Raw genomic sequence first — 16,716 nt, 5'->3', positions numbered from 1 at the left:
TCTGTGCAGAAAAGAAGCACTGTTGTGCTCTGAGGTTGTGCAAAGGAGATCATTGTGTGAGAAGCATGGAGACAGAGCCTGAAGGTTCAAGGAGGATAGAGGAGCTCTACGAGTATAAGACACCAGCTCTGCAATTGAGTCTGCTCCCAGCTACACGGGAGGCAACTCGACTCACATCTGGCTGAGTGTCTGATGCTGTTGTGGACAGTGTTGCTATAACCTGCTGAGACACGCAGAGATCCCAGCACAACAATTTTCCTCTTTTTATTCCTTAAAAACCATTTTAGTTCAAAAACAAAATTTCAAATAATAAAAAAAATTCTCCTCCCAGCTATCACAGTCCTCAGTATCTACTAAAAGGAGTTGAAAACATATCCACAAAAACACCTGCACATGTATGTTTATAACAGCTTCATTCATAATTGCCAAAACCTGGAAGCAACCAAGATGTCCTTTAGGAGGCGAGTGGATAAATAAACTGCAGCACATCCAGACAATAGAATATTATTCAGCACTAAAAAGAAACAGGCTACATTAACCAGTCAATGTACATATTGCTTGGCAAGACTAAGCTTCAGCTTGTCCAGCATAAGTCTTGACTTACACTTCTGTATTCCCTACAGCAACTAGCCTCATGCTTTCCACCTGAAAGATGTTCCACAAGTGTTTGTTAATTTTACCTGATTGGCATCAAAATGAAGATAGCAACACAGAGCTGTTATTTAAAAGAATAAGCCAGAAGCTGAATGGTATTGTTTTTAACTATTAGGACATGTCACCACGCATCAGTCTTTCCCAACTCATTGTTAGCTGGGAATGACTGGGAATAGGAACGCTGGGGGAAAAATCCTGGATGGGTGTGGCTAATAAAGAGGATATGGCTGTGGAGCAGATAGACTTGGCTTCAAACTCTGCATTTACTACTTCCTAGCTGGGGACCTTGAGCAAACTGAGCTCTGGGTTCCTCATTTTGTAAAAAGAGTTCAAAAGGGCTCTTGGTGTGGTTGAAATGAGAGTTCGAAATAATATACTCAGAGCACCTGCCAAGGTGTCTGGCCCCAAGCTGCTCAATGTCTAACAATGATTTCATCACCTTCCTTGCTTCCATCATGTGCTGGAAAATCTAAGTGCATTAAAAAAAATGAGAGACTGAAGGATGTGAATCGCTATGAGAAAGCATGAATATCAAGAAGAAAGCATAAAAGGTATGAAAGAAGCACGCACACACACATGCACACACACGTGCAGCAATTCCAGGCTCAACTGTCTTGTCTGCAGATGTTTTATCAAACATAGGAATATATTATAGCCAAGTTGTCTAAACTCTGTTTACCTGAGTCTATCAGAGTTTATCTGTTAGTAATCTATCTCTAAAAGGCTGAAAGCTTCCTGGTTCATTCTAACACAGCAGTCCCGTTTCTGAGAATTTACTTTAAAGTATATCCACACACCTACAAAATAATGGATTTATGGGGTTGCTTACTGCAGCAGAAGACTGGAAACACCTCAAATATCTATCACTACTGGGAACTGGTTGAATAAACAAACTATGACACAACCACACAAAGGAACACTGTAGCAATAAAAAAAAAATGAGGAAACACCCTATGAACTGATAGAGGACAATTTCCTTGATTTACAGTTAAAAAGAGCAGGTATAGCACAGGTTATAAAGCATGCTACCTTTTCTGAAATATTTTCAAGGCAACAACTTCACCTTCCCGATCTGCAAAACCACTAACACAGGGATGATCTTAGGAACCAACGTGGCTTCAGCACTAGGACATTCACAGGCTAAAGGAGAAAAACTATACCATCATCTTACTGGCTGCTTATGAAGATATTTGACATAATTCAACATCCATCCTATCCTCTTAAAAGAAAAATATAAAACCCTGTTAGTGTTAGAGGTAATGCAAAGACTCCCTCTGTATTACAAACCTATTAGAAACCAAGAGGAAGTGTGAAAAACAATGGTGAAATACTAAAGGCACTGCTATAAAATCAGGTTCAAGTCAAGAATGAGTTCTGTCTGGGCCAGTTCTGGAAGTTCCAGCCAACATGCTGAAATAAGAAAGAGAAGAAAGAAACAAATGTATTATTTTCAAATGATGTGATGTTAATCAATGGAAGGTTAGTTAAAATAAGAAATATCAAGCAACAGAATCCTATGCAGGATGATGATATAGAATAACATTTTATTGTGGAAAAGTACCCAAGATATAGTATCAAATGGAAGAAGCAGTTTACAAAATAGTATCATACTATGTTTATTGAAAATATCTATTTATATCCCTATGTTGAATATATACATAGAGAAAAGTCTGAAAGGAAATCCACCAAAATATATTTACAGATTGTATCTCTGGCCTATGGGTTTTGAAGTGATTCTTATTTTTATTTACTTTTCAGCATGTCCTAAATGCTTTATTACGAGCATATGTATGTAATTGTTTAGATAAATTTCTTTCACCCACAAATAAACACACTCGTGTGTGCACATGCAAAACTCATTTCAAGGTCAGTGAGATGAGCTGCATTTCTCTTAAAGTGGCTAGTGTTTGTGACCTAAGGCCACTTTCCAACTCACTCCCACCTTTGTGAAAAACCAAGCTGGTCTGCTCTGCCTGGTCCCTGCCCCTCTGAACAGAAGCCTCAGATCTGTGGGCTCCAAAAAAGCTTACTCTGGGTTTGATTTCCCAGGTGACCATGGCCCCTGTCCTCAGTACTCATACCCAGTCCTAGCCCTATCCTAGCTGTTTGCAAAGAACTCCCAGCCCTCTGAAGCCTGCCCACCTTGCCTGAGTGAAGAGGGCTCCTCCTTGCCACACATCCAACAGAAGCCTTTGCCTCCCCAGTGGGTGAATTTGGAGATCCCTGTGGCAGTCTGAAGCCTCCAAATGCCAGGCTTCTCAGCCCCACAATGGGGCTGAAGGTCATAGGCAGAGCATACCAGGTCCTGTCACCTCATCCCCGGTCTCTTGGGACCTTAAATGTCCCCCATATGTGTTTCCTCCCTTGGGTCCCTGCCTTGTATTTCAGACAGCTAGTTGGGTGGATTCTGCTACCTCGTTTCTGTTGGCCACATTTCATGAACTCTGTGTCTGCCTTTCCCCACCTCATCTTAGGCACATTGCCTGGCACAAGCTGCTGGTATGTGTGGTGCATCTGATCCTTACTTATTCTCCACCCTGCACCCTGAAGTTGTGAGAAGGCCACTCCTAGGTCTCAATTCCTCTGGGGAGAGGACTGGATTTGTTATCTTCCTGCGTCAACTTGAGTCATAATCCAGCAGTCTGCCCCTAGAGCCTGGTACTTCTTTTGCCTGGTACTTGCCCCACACCCCACCAGCTTCCCTCCTGGCCCAGTGCCCACCACACCATCGGAGGGTGGTCAGGCCTGCTCCGTAAGGCTGGACACTGTTACCCCCGACAGGAGCATTCCAATGGCTGCAGCAATGGAGTGACCGAGCCATATATACGTCCAGCATGACTCAGTAGACTGAGATCAAAGCTGGCCTTGATCATCTTGGGACTCTGAAAAATATTGGCATAATCATCCCTCATCTATCCAGAACCAGCTTCCTATCAGTCAGTGTCTCCTTTCCATAATTTAGTTATGAACCAGGAATTAATGCACCAATACAAATGCCTTCAAATAGAGTTACTTTGAACCTGGGAAAACTTTACATTATGCTCATTTCTACCTAGCTTGGTTATTTGATTTCTAACTCCAAAACGTTTTAGGAAAAGCAAACTAGGAAAAGGGAAAGCAGCAGCTATGTGGCAGTCCTCAGGAAATGATTGCCTGATAATTGATAACATGCAAGGTTTGGAAAAGTACGAGACCTCCAAAAGAGGGAGCAAACAGTCCTTTGCATCTGATATTACCACTCAGCACAAAACCTCATGTTTATAACGTAACCCCAAGTCACACACATGCAAACATGAGTCACCTTCAGCATGCTCCCCGAGGATGCCTAGGTGTTTCCGAACAACTCCCAGACCTCTGAAGGCTGCACACCTTGTCCAAAGTTGAGAGGGCTCCCCCATGTAATGCATCTCTGAAAGCTTTTGCATAATCACAGTACGTGAGCAGCATGGTCAGTTCTCATAATTTGTACTGCAGTTCTCAGAGACTGATGGGAATGTATTTTTACGGTTGACATATTTACAACAGTAAATATATATTCATATATTTAAAGCACAAATCGTGCTTTATTTGCTGCCTATATCCTTGTTTCTTGAATTAGCTAATGGAGGGGAAAGAAACCTTGACCAATTAATTGTTAATGACTTCAGTTTTCTAATGAACTTCGCCTTCCTCATCTCTAAAATGAAGCCAATAATACCTGCCTGAAGCACTTTGGATGACCACGAAAATCTAATAGGATGGCTATGTGAAAGTTCTACAGAAAGGAATAAAGAATGTGTAGTAATTTCCCTTATCTAGATTGGATCATGGATCTAAATTACAGAAGGAAGGAAAACTACAAGTACACATTACTCAAAGGTTAGAGATTAGGCAAATCTTGAAGACAGATAATTGACAGAATTGGGCACAGCTCAGAAGGGACTTCCACCAGCATTAGCAACAGGCTATTCTTGGGGAAAAAGCGACACCTACTGCATCTAACTATACTGCAATGGACCCAGAAAACCAAAAGTCTTCAAACTTGTGTTCAATGTTAGTCGGGCACGAGATCCCTACTTCACTATTGCAAAAATAAAAAATTAGAAATAGTCATATTGTATTTCTCCGGAAAAATCACAATCTCCTTTCATTTAAAAATAACTGTTGTTTTTCATATTCAAGTGTAATGCATATTAGTTATAGATATTTAAAGAACATAAATATCCTCTAATAACATCATTATCAAACGTCTTAGTGCTGCTGCCACTGCCATCTTCATTTCTCTTCATTCTTCCATTTTTTTCCTTCACTTATTCTCCTTCCCCACCTCTTCATCGTCCTCCTCCTTCTATCTCAATTCATGCACATTGTAAAAAATAAATAAATAAATAAGACAGTAAATCAAAAGTAAAACCCCTCATCAGGGGTGACCATTGCTAACAGTTTGTTGTGTGCTATGCCACACAATTTTATAACAGTGGAAATACATTATCTATTACAAATGATTGTAAGATAGTACTGGTTGTCATTGCTGTCCAGCCAAAGATCACTGGGAACACACCTGTAGTCAAGCAAGTTGGGGTTATTACTCTTTGCTGCGGGGGAGAATGCATGGCATGGGGAACCGTGGGGTGTTTCAGTAAGAGGGTGTTAGAAAGAACTTATTATGGGACTCAGGCTTGTGCTAGGGGGTTTGCAGAAGGGTTTAAGGAAGCAGGGTAATTCTGTGCGTGGGTATCTTAATAACTCTCATCCGGAAGGAGGGAAGACTGCTGCAAGGCTAAAGCCAGTGAAGAACTGGTAAAGAAGCACCAGTCATTCCTATTAGCCAGGACAGGAGGCTGCTCGGTCATTTTGTGGTCTGGACAATGTACCTGTTTTGCCTGTGTTGAGACATGATTATAGAGTGATCTCATTTTTTTCTTCATCATTGGCACTGAGTGTCCTTGTCTGATGTTGGTGTTCTATGAAATCCTTTATGTTCAATAGGAAAACACTGAGGCCTGGCTATGAGTGCCAGGCCAGCTCCTGTCTGTCAGGAAACACTTTTCTCTTTCTTATTGTTTCCTCCTTTTTTGCTTAACAATGTGGACATTTTTTCAGGTCAATACTGAAGCTTATTTAACCAAATTTCACTTGTTGAATAATTGATTTTTTTCCCAACATTTTAGGCTTATAATTATTATAAAAATAAAAATCTTTAGAAGTATGTCTTTGCACACTTATACTGCTATTTCCTTAAAATAAATTTCTAAAAGTGTAATTACTGGATCAAATGATATATACACTTTAAAGTTTTCAATAGATATTACCAGAATGCCCTCCATAGAGTGTGTACTAATTTCATTTCCAACAATAGTATAGAATGCCCACTCTCCACAAATCCTTGTTTGGGGAGCACACAAGGTCACCAACCTTTTTTTCTTGTTTTTTCTGGTTCCATAGACAGAAAAACATCTTATTTTAAAGTGTTTTATTATGTAAAATTTGATATACACAAAAGACAAAATGAGGCATGTATATGTCTCACTAGACTACACTACATTAGACTGTCTCAGTAGCTTCAGGGGAGTCTGGTTAGGTGGTACAAATGCTTTGATTGGCATCCCAAACCTGTTTCTCAAGCTGCTAGTTAAGAAGAGAGGTCAGTAGAATGAGGTATCTTTGGGTTCCTCAGATTTGGAACACACCTTAACAATAGCGCCTTTCAAAGTGTGTTGCTGTCTGCTTACTCATCTGCCTATCCTTGAATTATGAGCTTTAAGGGGACAGGGACTATGTCTTATTCACTTTTGTGTCTCCAGAATCTAGCCCAGAACCTGACCTAAATAGACCTAAATTAATATTTAATGAACACCCCCCAATCTATTTTTTTAAATCAATTGATACATAAGTAGTTGGGGGTGATAAATTAGCTATAGATTTTCTATGTAAGAAACATACTTATACATAAAATTCAATTTGTCCAACTACTCCGTTGGAATAATTCCTACAGATTGGAACTGCCAGGGCAAAGTACATACAAGATCTAAATTTTGAGTAAATTTCCCAAAACTGGAGTAAATTTTCCCAGTGTTTAAGAGTTCCCTATTTCCTAAAATTCTATACAAATGTTAGATTTCTGTATTTGTGATCATTGATAATGTAATATTACAAAGAAACTGCTTTTTCATCTATTAATGTTAAGCTACATCATCTTCATATCACCTTATTAATCATGTGTATTATTTCATTTTCCTGTTTCTTTTATTTTCATTTCCCTTGTAATGTTAGCCTGTTACTGATTTCTAAAAGCTCATTTATGATTAAGAATGTTAACATTTTTTCAAGTATTGCAAATGAAATACCATGTTTTTCTCATTTATTTTAATGTGGTGTTTTAATTTTTGGTTGTACAGAAGTTACGTATTGAAATATGATCATGTTCTGTTTTATATATATGAAATGAACAATGAGTGAAGGAGGAAACACCACTCCACTCTAGGAAGGCAAGACCCAGTTCTCGGAAGTTGATCTGTAATGGGCACTATTTGGGTACTTTGTACACTGCAGGGGTTCTGAGCACAAGCTTTGGAATCCGAGAGACCTGGGTTTTAGTCACAACTCAGCTACAAACTAACTGTATGACCTGAGCAAGTTATTTCTCCTTCGAGCCTCAGTTTCACTGGCCGACAATGTGGCTAACACCACCAGTCTTTCTGAGATTGAGTTTGATGTAAAAAATGTTTAGCTCAATGCCCACATCATATCTAGTAGATGATTATATTTTAGGGCATTATTATTATTATTAAGGGCAACTATGATTAGGGAATTTATGCTTGCAAAGTGGTGTTGTGCCTTCCAGGGATACTTTGATTCTTTCACTCTGAAAGAAAGAGCAGAGAGGACCTACCTGTGGACAACCAGACACAAATTAGGGCCCAAAGCAAAGAAGGGTCCAGGATGGAGTTCGGAACACAGACAGGGAGAGGTCATTTGAGGTCTAGGAGAAGGACACCCTAAAGCTATCCCTTGAAAACCATGAGTCTATGAGCAGAGGATCCCAGGGGCTGCCACTTGGTACTGCAGAACCACAGGAGCTGGGAGCTAAGTGGCCTCCTACAGGAGTACTGACCAGTGGATGGTGTTGGCCTCTCAGCAGGACCTGCGTTCTTTCCATTACCCAGTGGGTCAGCTCGGCAATGGCCATATTCATTCACTCAATAAATATTGAGCATCTACTATGTGTCAGGCACTGTTCACTGTTCTAAGCACTGGGGATACAACAGTGAACAAAAAAGCCATAGTTCAGGCTTTCATGGAGTTTGCAATCTAACAAGAAGGAAAATAATTAAACTAAGCAAACAAGAAAATACAAATTGATGATATGCTATGCTGAGAATTAAAATAGGAGGATGTGATAGGAAGTAACTGGGAGCTACTTTATACAGAGTAATCAGGGTGGGCCTCTTTATGGAGGCAATGTTTAAGATAAAGCCTGACTGACCAGAAGGACTTGCAAAGATCAGGGGAAACAACTAGTTCTCCCTAGTTGGGAACAAGCTTGGTGTATCTAGAAAGCTGAATGAAGGTTGGTGTGGCTGTTGCTCCTGAGTGAGGGGAAAGTAAAAATAGTTTAGATAGATGGACAGAGGTCCTAACATGTGAGGCTCTGTAAATCAGAACAGAGGATTTGGATTTCATTCTAATTGTAACGGGAAGTGATAGGAAGGTTTTCATTTGGAAGGAACAACATTATCTTTAGTTTTCTTTTCTTCTTTTTTTTTTAAATTATACTTTAAGTTCTAGGGTGCATGTTGGTTTGCTGCACCCATCAACTCATCATTTTTACATTAGGTATTTCTCCTAATGTTATTCCACCCTCAGCCCCCCACCCTCCAACAGGCCCCAGTGTGTGATGTTCCCCGCCCTGTGTCCATGTGTTGTCATTGTTCAACTCCCATTTATGAGTGAGAACATGCAGTGTTTGGTTTTCTGTCCTTGTGATAGTTTGCTCAGAATGATGGTTTCCAGCTTCATCCAGATCTCTGCAAAGGACATGAATTCATTCTTTTTACGGCTGCATAGTATTCCATGGTGTATATGTGCCACATTTTCTTAATCCAGTCTATCACTGATGGACATTTGGGTTGGTTCCAAGTCTTTGCTATTGTGAATAGTGCCACAATAAACATACGTGTGCACGTGTCTTTATAGTAGCATGATTTATAATCCTTTGGGTATATACCCAGTAATGGGATGGCTGGGTCAAATGGTACTTCTAATTCTAGATCCTTGAGGAATCCCCACACTGTCCTCCACAATGGTGGAACTAATTTACACTACCACTAACACTGTAAAAGTGTTCCTATTTCTTGGCCGGGCATGGTGGCTCACGCCTGTAATCCCAGCACTTTGGGAGGCCGAGGCGGGCAGATCACGAGGTCAGGAGATTGAGACCATCCTGACTAACACGGTGAAACCCCGTCTCTACTAAAAATACAAAAAATTAGCCGGGCGTGGTGGTAGGCGCCTGTAGTCCCAGCTACTCGGGAGGCTAAGCCAGGAGAATGGTGTGAACCCGGAAGGCAGAGTTTGCAGTGAGCTGAGATCACGCCACTGCACTCCTGCCTGGGTGACACAGCAAGACTCTGTCTCAAAAAAAAAAAAGAAAAAAAAAGCATTCCTATTTCTCCACATCCTCTCCAGCATCTGTTGTTTCCTGACTTTTTAATGATCGCCATTCTAATTGGCGTGAGATGGTATCTCATTGTGGTTTTGATTTGCATTTCTCTGATGACCAGTAATGATGAGCATTTTTTCCTGTGTCTGTTGGCTGCATAAATGTCTTCTTTTGAGAAGGGTCTGTTCATATCCTTTGCTCACTTTTTGATGGGGTTATTTTTTTCTTGTAGATTTGTTTAAGTTCTTTGTAGATCCTGGATATTCGCCCTTTGTCAGATGGATAGGTTGCAAAAATTTTCTCCGATCTTATTTAGTTTTCAAAGGTCACTGTCTATATCTAACTCTAAGACAGCTATAGTAAATTACAGTAATTGTGGTTTTTATTTGCCCAGCCAACTTAACCATGTCCCTCGTTCTGACAATTTAATCCTGTCCTCCCTGGGCATGGACTTGACTCAGGCCTGACCAATCATAGTATCCCATTTCCTAGGACACAGTCATTGGTTCAGTGTGGGCATGTGATCTAAGCTGAGCCAATCAGACTCCTTCCCTGGGATTCCCGGATTGGAGCTAAAGAAGAAGTCTTGTCTCTACCCTACAGAGCTGAGAGAAGGTGAAGGAAAGATGGCAACCATCTTTCCTAGTTCTAGGAATATGTCCATTTCCAGCAAGCAGAACATGCAGAGATGACAGACTAATGGAAGAAAAATAATCCTGGTGGCATTAACACTGATTCCAGTGACTAAGGCCTCAGTTCCTGAGGCCCTTCTTGCAATCCTGGGGAATAACTACTCCTTATCTTTCCTACTAAGTGAGACACTAAGTTTCTCTTTTTACTGAACCCTGTCACCATGAGTCCTCTCTAATTCAACAGCCCTTCTTACCCAGGTATTTTTTAAAATATCCAGTCGCCATTTCTCTAAGAGGAAATTCACTGTACTCCATGGAGACAGAAGAAAGGAGAGGAAGTAGCAGGTGCTCAATAGGAGGGATGAGTGAGATTATGAGTGCAAAGATTTAGTATATGTTTCCCTTCAAAAAAGAAACAAAGAGGACATCAGCAGCTCTTGGTCCTAGCAAAAGGGTCTGAGGCCATAATTTTTGGTTTTGTTTTTGTTTGAGACAAGGTCTCGCTCTGTCACCCATGCTGGAGTGCAGTGGCACGATCATGGCTCACTTCAGCCTCCACCTCCCAGGCTCACAGGCTTAATCCATCCTCTCGCCTCAGCCTCCTAAAGTAGCTGGGACTACAGGCATGCGCCACCATCCCGAGCTAACTTTTGTATTTTTTGAGAGACAGGATTCCGTCATTTTGCCCTGGCTGCTCTGGAACTCCTGGGCTCAAGTGATCTGCCTGCCTTGGCCTCCCAAAGTGCTGGGATTACAAATGTGAGCCACCGCGCTGACCCTGTGGCCATACTTTAGGCACAAATGCTTAGTACTGTGGTCTGAGCACAAGGCTATCATAGCCCTTCTCCATCTGCTTGAACTTGCAAAGTCACGTGGCTTGCTTTGATCATTGAAATGTGATCATGCATGTTACTTCTAGACAAAAACTTTAGGTGCCTACCTATGGTTAGCCAAGTTCCCTTTTCCTTTCTCTACAATCATGGAAGCTTATGTCAAGATGGAGCCTCCCTGAGCCTTGGTTCCTGAGTGACTACTAAGGATAGACATACGGCATGAGTAACAAATGTTTTAAGCCACTAAAAGTGTGGGGTTGTTATCGCATCATAGCAAAGCCTGCCCTGGCTAGTAACACAATAAATACCCAAAGTAGAATAAGAACTTACCTAGCAAAGATCTTAATGACAGCTGTATTACAAACCTTTGTAGAGGTAGCATGTGGACAGCTTATTTTGTTGACTGGAATCCTGTAGGTTCATATTCCCTTTTTTCCAAGGACGTTTACCTAGGAATTACAAGGCAATCTCAATCTATGATGACCTATATTATTATGATGAAACCATAGGCTTTGTCTGGTTAAAAAAAAAAAAAAAAAGTTAATTTGGTGGATATGTGTGGGGAGAAGTTGCATTAGGGGGATGACTCCTGCAAAAGGTTGGAGGGAAGTCCTCTTTCTTCATTTTGAGCACTTGGTGCTCACTCAACTCCACCCCATTTACAGCTACTCTGCTCTATCTATAGGTAGGTTCATCACGCATATGCTCCAGACAGATCGTTTTAGAAATGCTGATATTAGTATAGTGGGCAGGAATTTTTCTCCACAAACTCATAGGTACAAAAACTATTTCTATTTATTTATTTAATCAAGTTAACCCGATTCTAAGCATCCAGTCATCTGATGAGATATTTGATCTCAGCCATCTTCAGGGTGGTCATCCCTCTCCCAAGAATTCCACATGAATCCAGGGGGCTCATGTGGCTCCCAGCAAAGGGCAGAAAATCCTCTGGTTCTTATGACTGCCGCTGAGAAGCTCCTCATCCAAGCCCATACAGAGGGTGAGCAGCTCCCTCCTTCCACACCAAGCATGGGGACCCTTTCTCACAATCCTCTATGCCACAGCTGTCTCCAGCAAACACACATTCCATCCCAGCAGAGGTCTGTCACATCTGAGGAAGTGGCATGGAAGCAGGGCATAGGTCTACATCACTCAAAAGAAAAAACTCCCATCCCCGTCCTCACCTCGGGGAAAGCCACTTCTGCCTTCTCTCTTCTTATGGAGGAAGGAATTGGAGCTTACGTATCAAACACACTTAAGTGTGTCTTGAGAGTGCTGAGGATGGGTGGCACGTCCTCGTGTTTTGGGCTGGCATAAAGTTCAGATGAACCCATGTGAGGTGATTAGTGGCCCTTACTTGACAGACATGCAACGTGCCTAATGAAGGCCTGAGGCCTCAGCCTCCCTGACTAGACAGGTCCAATCATCCTTCTCAATCATTAATCTTCAGAGAATCCCTGCTGTCTTACAAATGTACCCAGGTTTGTTTTAATAAGGTATAATAAGACACATAGACACAGAAATGACTGTCATCGAGAAAGCTGATACTCACAGGTCCCTAGAAACAGGAGGCAAAGCACACTATACAGGGGCCACATGGGGAAGCACCAGGGTCAGTTGGGATGCAGAGGGAGCAGGGAAAACGTGGGCAAGAGTGCTTATTGTGGTTTCCATTGGAAGGAATGACTGAGGCAGGGTAGGCAGACTTAGGATTGGCTAGTTTGAGTAATTTCAGCAGGCTTTGGGGTAAAGAGGCCATCCCTAGTTGTCTGGTGCCTGGCCCTAGGTGATTAGAGCAGGCAGATAGTGGCCCAGAGTATAAGAGCCCTGGTCTCTCTCCTCCTTGAAAAACTCTTCTCTCCCACTCCCCACAGGAAGCCCAGTCCCCTTTGACATCTCCCCACCTTCCTCCCTCCCCCAAAGAGGAACTAGGCCACAACCTCAAGTGAGTGGGGTTGAAAGATAGGCTGAGGGTAAACCAAAGAACACACAGCCTTCCTCCATTCTATACAAAGGGATCTCAGGCCACTAAGGTCAGACAGGTCTGAGGATTACAAAAATCATAGATCTGCCTCCTAAAACCTAGAAACCAGCAGCTATGAGCTGTCCAGAGGTGACCCAGAACAGGATATCTGTGAAACAATGACTGTCCTTTACTGAGTGAGGCTTAATATGATTGCGAGTGTCATGGTTATCTTTTTTTTTTTTTTTTGAGACGGAGTTTTGCTCTGTTGCCCAGGCTGGAGTGCAGTGGCGTGATCTTGGCTCACTGCAAACTCCACCTCCCGGGTTCACGCCATTCTCCTGCCTCAGCCTCCCGAGTAGCTGGGACTACAGGCCCCCGCCACCACGCCCGGCTAATTTTTTGTATTTTTAGTAGAGACGGGGTTTCACCGTGTTAGCCAGAATGGTCTCGATCTCCTGACCTTGTGATCCACCTGCCTTGGCCTCCCAAAGTGCTGGGATTACAGGCGTAAGCCACCATGCCCAGCCTACGAATGTCATGGTTATCATATAGTTAAGCTATATGGTTATGGATAGTAAGCCCATTTTTGCAATAACAACATCTATTGGTACAGACAGGTCTTTATTGTTGACATATTTTCTCATTTAATCCTTGAAGCAACCCTGAGGTAGGTTTTATTATCCCCACTTCGCAGATGAGTAAACTGATGTCCCTAGGTTAGGTTACTTGCCGAAGATCACACATTTACTAGTGGCAAAGCCACTGATAATTCCAAACCCAAGGGGACTCTTTTGAGTAGTTCACAGGCTGCTGCCAAGGAAAGTAGAGCAGAAAACTTCAAAGGGGAAGGACTGGATCATTGACTGGAGCTTGAGGGGCTCAAGCACCAGGGATGAACGAGGCACATTCACAGGCCAAGACCAGGACTCAGCAGGAGAAGCCTAGAGCCATGTGCGAGTGGTCAAGCAGGAAGAGGTCTTGACGTTTGGTAAGAGCTGACAATGTCATCAAATACACATAGAGCTCAGCTTCCAGGGACTGGAGAAACAAGAAGGCCTCCAGCAGCTACCAGTCCAGGGACTGGCCACAGTCAGTCAGACTCAAAGAGAACTGAGAGGCCACAACAGTCTTCCAGACCCAGCAACCTTTGGCATCTCAGTGGTAACTCCATTCCAGCAAATCACCCTGTTCCAGGCAGGGCAAGTCCAGGGAGAGCTGCCACAGAGTGATGCCATCCTAACTTGGCCTCAGTGCAGTAACCTCAGGGCAGTGGTCCTTTAACTTTGTTAAGGCCTTGAAAATCTGACAAAAGCCATAAAACCTCCCCACAGAGACATACAGACACACATGTACAAACAACATTTTGCATACAATTTCAGGGAGTCCATGGACCCCAGGTAGGGGGGACTCCTGCTTTAGGGCAAGGGTGTCACCCTGAGTAGTCACTGATTGCAAACGTATCTTTATACTGCTCGTATATCCTATGACTGTTCCCCTTCTGTTGTTCCCTAATCATTAGAATGTTGTTGATTTTTAATGGGAGCCAAGGAAATGGGGTACAGCCTACACTCCAGCCAGAGAAAGCAGCTGTGACATGGCAGTGGTGGCAGCCAGGGGGTAAAAACAAAGAAAAGGATGGGGTCATGTGTACTGCTGCCCTTCCCACCCGGAAGGTCACTTTAGGAGCTTTTCTCTACTCAAATTTAGAGTAAGGTTGTGGGGCAATGGGGAGAGGGGCAGTGTTTCAGTTCCTTTTAGAAAGGAACGCCATTCCCTCTATGGCTACAGGGTCTAAAGTTCTGCAGGCAACGCCCCCATTCCAATTGTCTCCCTCCCCATCCCTCATAAATATTCCTAAGCATCGGCCCAGTCATTCATGCACATGTGGCCAGGTCTCTTATGAACACTATGTATTTACACGTACTCTTTCATGGAAGGAAAACTGAGATGGGGAAGATCTCAGGGCAGAGACTCCATATTGCAACATGGGGATCATGCACTCCCCACAGATTCAGATAAACTTGAAGAATAAGCAGAACCACCCCAAGGACTCAGGGCACATTTGCCCCCAACCACCTCCAGGGCTCTTCCTTCCGGCCAGGCTCCAACCAGAAAGCAAAGTCATAGCTATGCCCTGTGCCCCATCCCCAAAACTAATGGGCCCAAGATAGGGGGCCAGGGATGAAGGTTTACAGGAGTTCAGATGTTAGGGGGAAGCCCTGATTTGCTGCAGAAAGCAGTTCTGATTTCTCATGGGAATCAGGAATCAGGCAAAGGTCTGGCCCCAAGCCCATCCAGGCTCAGAGAGAACAGATACTAAAATCCAAGTAATCACTCATACTCAAAGAGAACTCAGAGGCTGGGATGGTCTTCCAGGCCCAGTGACCCCCAGCATCTCAGTGGTCACTCCGTTCCAGTGATCACTTATACACTAGTGGTCATTTGCCCAGCTCTAGATGGATGTTTCATCACATGTGGCTAGAGGAGCCCCAGTTAGCCGAATGTGGGCTGGGCTTGGGCAAGGATCAAGCAGGAAGGGTGGTGAGAATCCACCAAAGCCACTGCCCCTCTTGGCCAGGGCCAGCGGCAACCGCTCATCTTCAGGAGAGGGGGAGGGAGGGTCTTGGCTGTAGCTTGTGGTCCCAGAAGGTGGAGCCCCCAGGTCCAGGCCCACCTTGTCTCTAGCCAGAAGTTCCCTCTGTCGCCGTCGCTGCTGACGCCGACCAATCAGAATGAGAGTCAGGGATGCTGCGAGAATCCCCAAGAAGAAGCCAGCCAGTCCCGCCCCCACTGTGTGGGCCCGGCTCGGAGCATCTCGCTGGCTGCCCCATACCAAGCTGTAAGCTGCTACCACATGGGCTGCCCCACCCTCCTGACATTCACAGGCATAAGCGCCCATGGCCCCTGGGGTCACCACCACCTCCAGTCCATCCCGCCGGGGGGTGAGTGCAGTCACTCCACTGGGCTGGTGCCACACACAGGATGCCCATGCTGAGCTTGGAGAACATGGCAAGACCACATGCGCAGCTGTAGCCACGGGAACTTCAAACACTACTGGACGTTCTGTGAGAAACAGCAAAGGCACAAAAGGAGGTGAGGCTAAAGGCTGGAGGTGTGATGAAGAAAAGTGTGGGGTGATGTCGGACATGAAAAGGGGCTATGGAGACTAAGCTAAAAAGGGGATTCCTAAAGAGGCTAAGGCCCGAGGTTCCTGGCTGCCACATCTTCCAGGATCCAAGGTTTAGAATCGTTCCAAAATGAACAACTCTCTAGCCCCTTTCCATCCACTCCACCCACATTTCCCTAATCCATACAGACCATACAGACCTCCAGGCTCTTTAGGACACAAAGAGGAGACATCTGCTGACTCTATGTCTTGGACCAACCTATAAAGAAGAGAATGCTTGGTAAATCCAGTGTGAACATTCCCTTCAACCCCCCTCAGTATTACTGAAGACTCCCTCATTCAATATATCTCCCATCATCCCAGAAATCACTCCAGAAATTATCAGTCAAGTTTCTCCTCATCACCAAATTTTTCCCCAATACCTCTTAATATTACTCATGACATTTCATTTGCCATATCAAGTTCCATGCATCTTTCTAGCAGACCAGTGATAGCTAAATTTGCACTAGGTCTGTTGTAAAGATGTTTAGTGGGGGTGCTTTAAAAGAAACAGAATCTTCTAAGAAATGAACCTGGTTCTCCACAACCACAAGATTTCTCTAGGAAAAAAAAGGATAAAAACTATAGGGATTTTTTTTTCTCTTATTTAAGAGAAAGAGCAAACTCCTTTTCTGTAGAAGCTAATCAAAATTCCTTTAGGGTCAGTGAGGTGACTTCTTGTTTCCTAAAAGCTACTTGTCTCTACAAAGGAACTCTTCAATAGTGGTTGATATATACTGGCCTATGTGTTATTTCAAAGGATCTGGGGTCATCCAGCCGGAAGCTCCAGGCACAGTCCTGTCACTTCCAGGATTTGGGTGGAC

The 16,716-nt window shown here is 43.5% G+C and overlaps 1 protein-coding gene across 15 annotated transcripts in view; it reads right to left on the bottom strand.

The window, feature by feature from the left end:
* SEMA4F (ssemaphorin 4F) overlaps positions 1–16,716 on the bottom strand; it is a 55,165-nt gene that overhangs the window by 14,024 nt on the left and 24,425 nt on the right. For 7 of the 15 annotated variants that reach the window (NR_073398.2, NR_073399.2, NM_004263.5 and 4 more), the window contains 2 exons: positions 16,054–16,112; positions 11,547–15,789 (listed from right to left, as the gene is read on the bottom strand). Coding sequence is in view for 12 of the 15 variants with exons in the window: in NM_004263.5 (NP_004254.2) it covers positions 15,179–15,789; positions 16,054–16,112 (670 nt within the window). In the remaining 3 variants the exon portion in view is untranslated. Of the gene's footprint in view, positions 1–2,178; positions 4,982–10,630; positions 11,210–11,546; positions 15,790–16,053; positions 16,113–16,716 lie in introns of those variants that run through there. The other 8 variants (NM_001438790.1, NM_001438791.1, NM_001436846.1 and 5 more) reach the window with 6 other exon arrangements.

Source organism: Homo sapiens, chromosome 2 (genome assembly GCF_000001405.40).
Source record: "Homo sapiens chromosome 2, GRCh38.p14 Primary Assembly".
Taxonomy (NCBI): Eukaryota; Metazoa; Chordata; class Mammalia; order Primates; family Hominidae; genus Homo; species Homo sapiens.
Note: the sequence above shows the minus strand (reverse complement) of the source record. Positions and strands in the feature narration are given on the sequence as shown.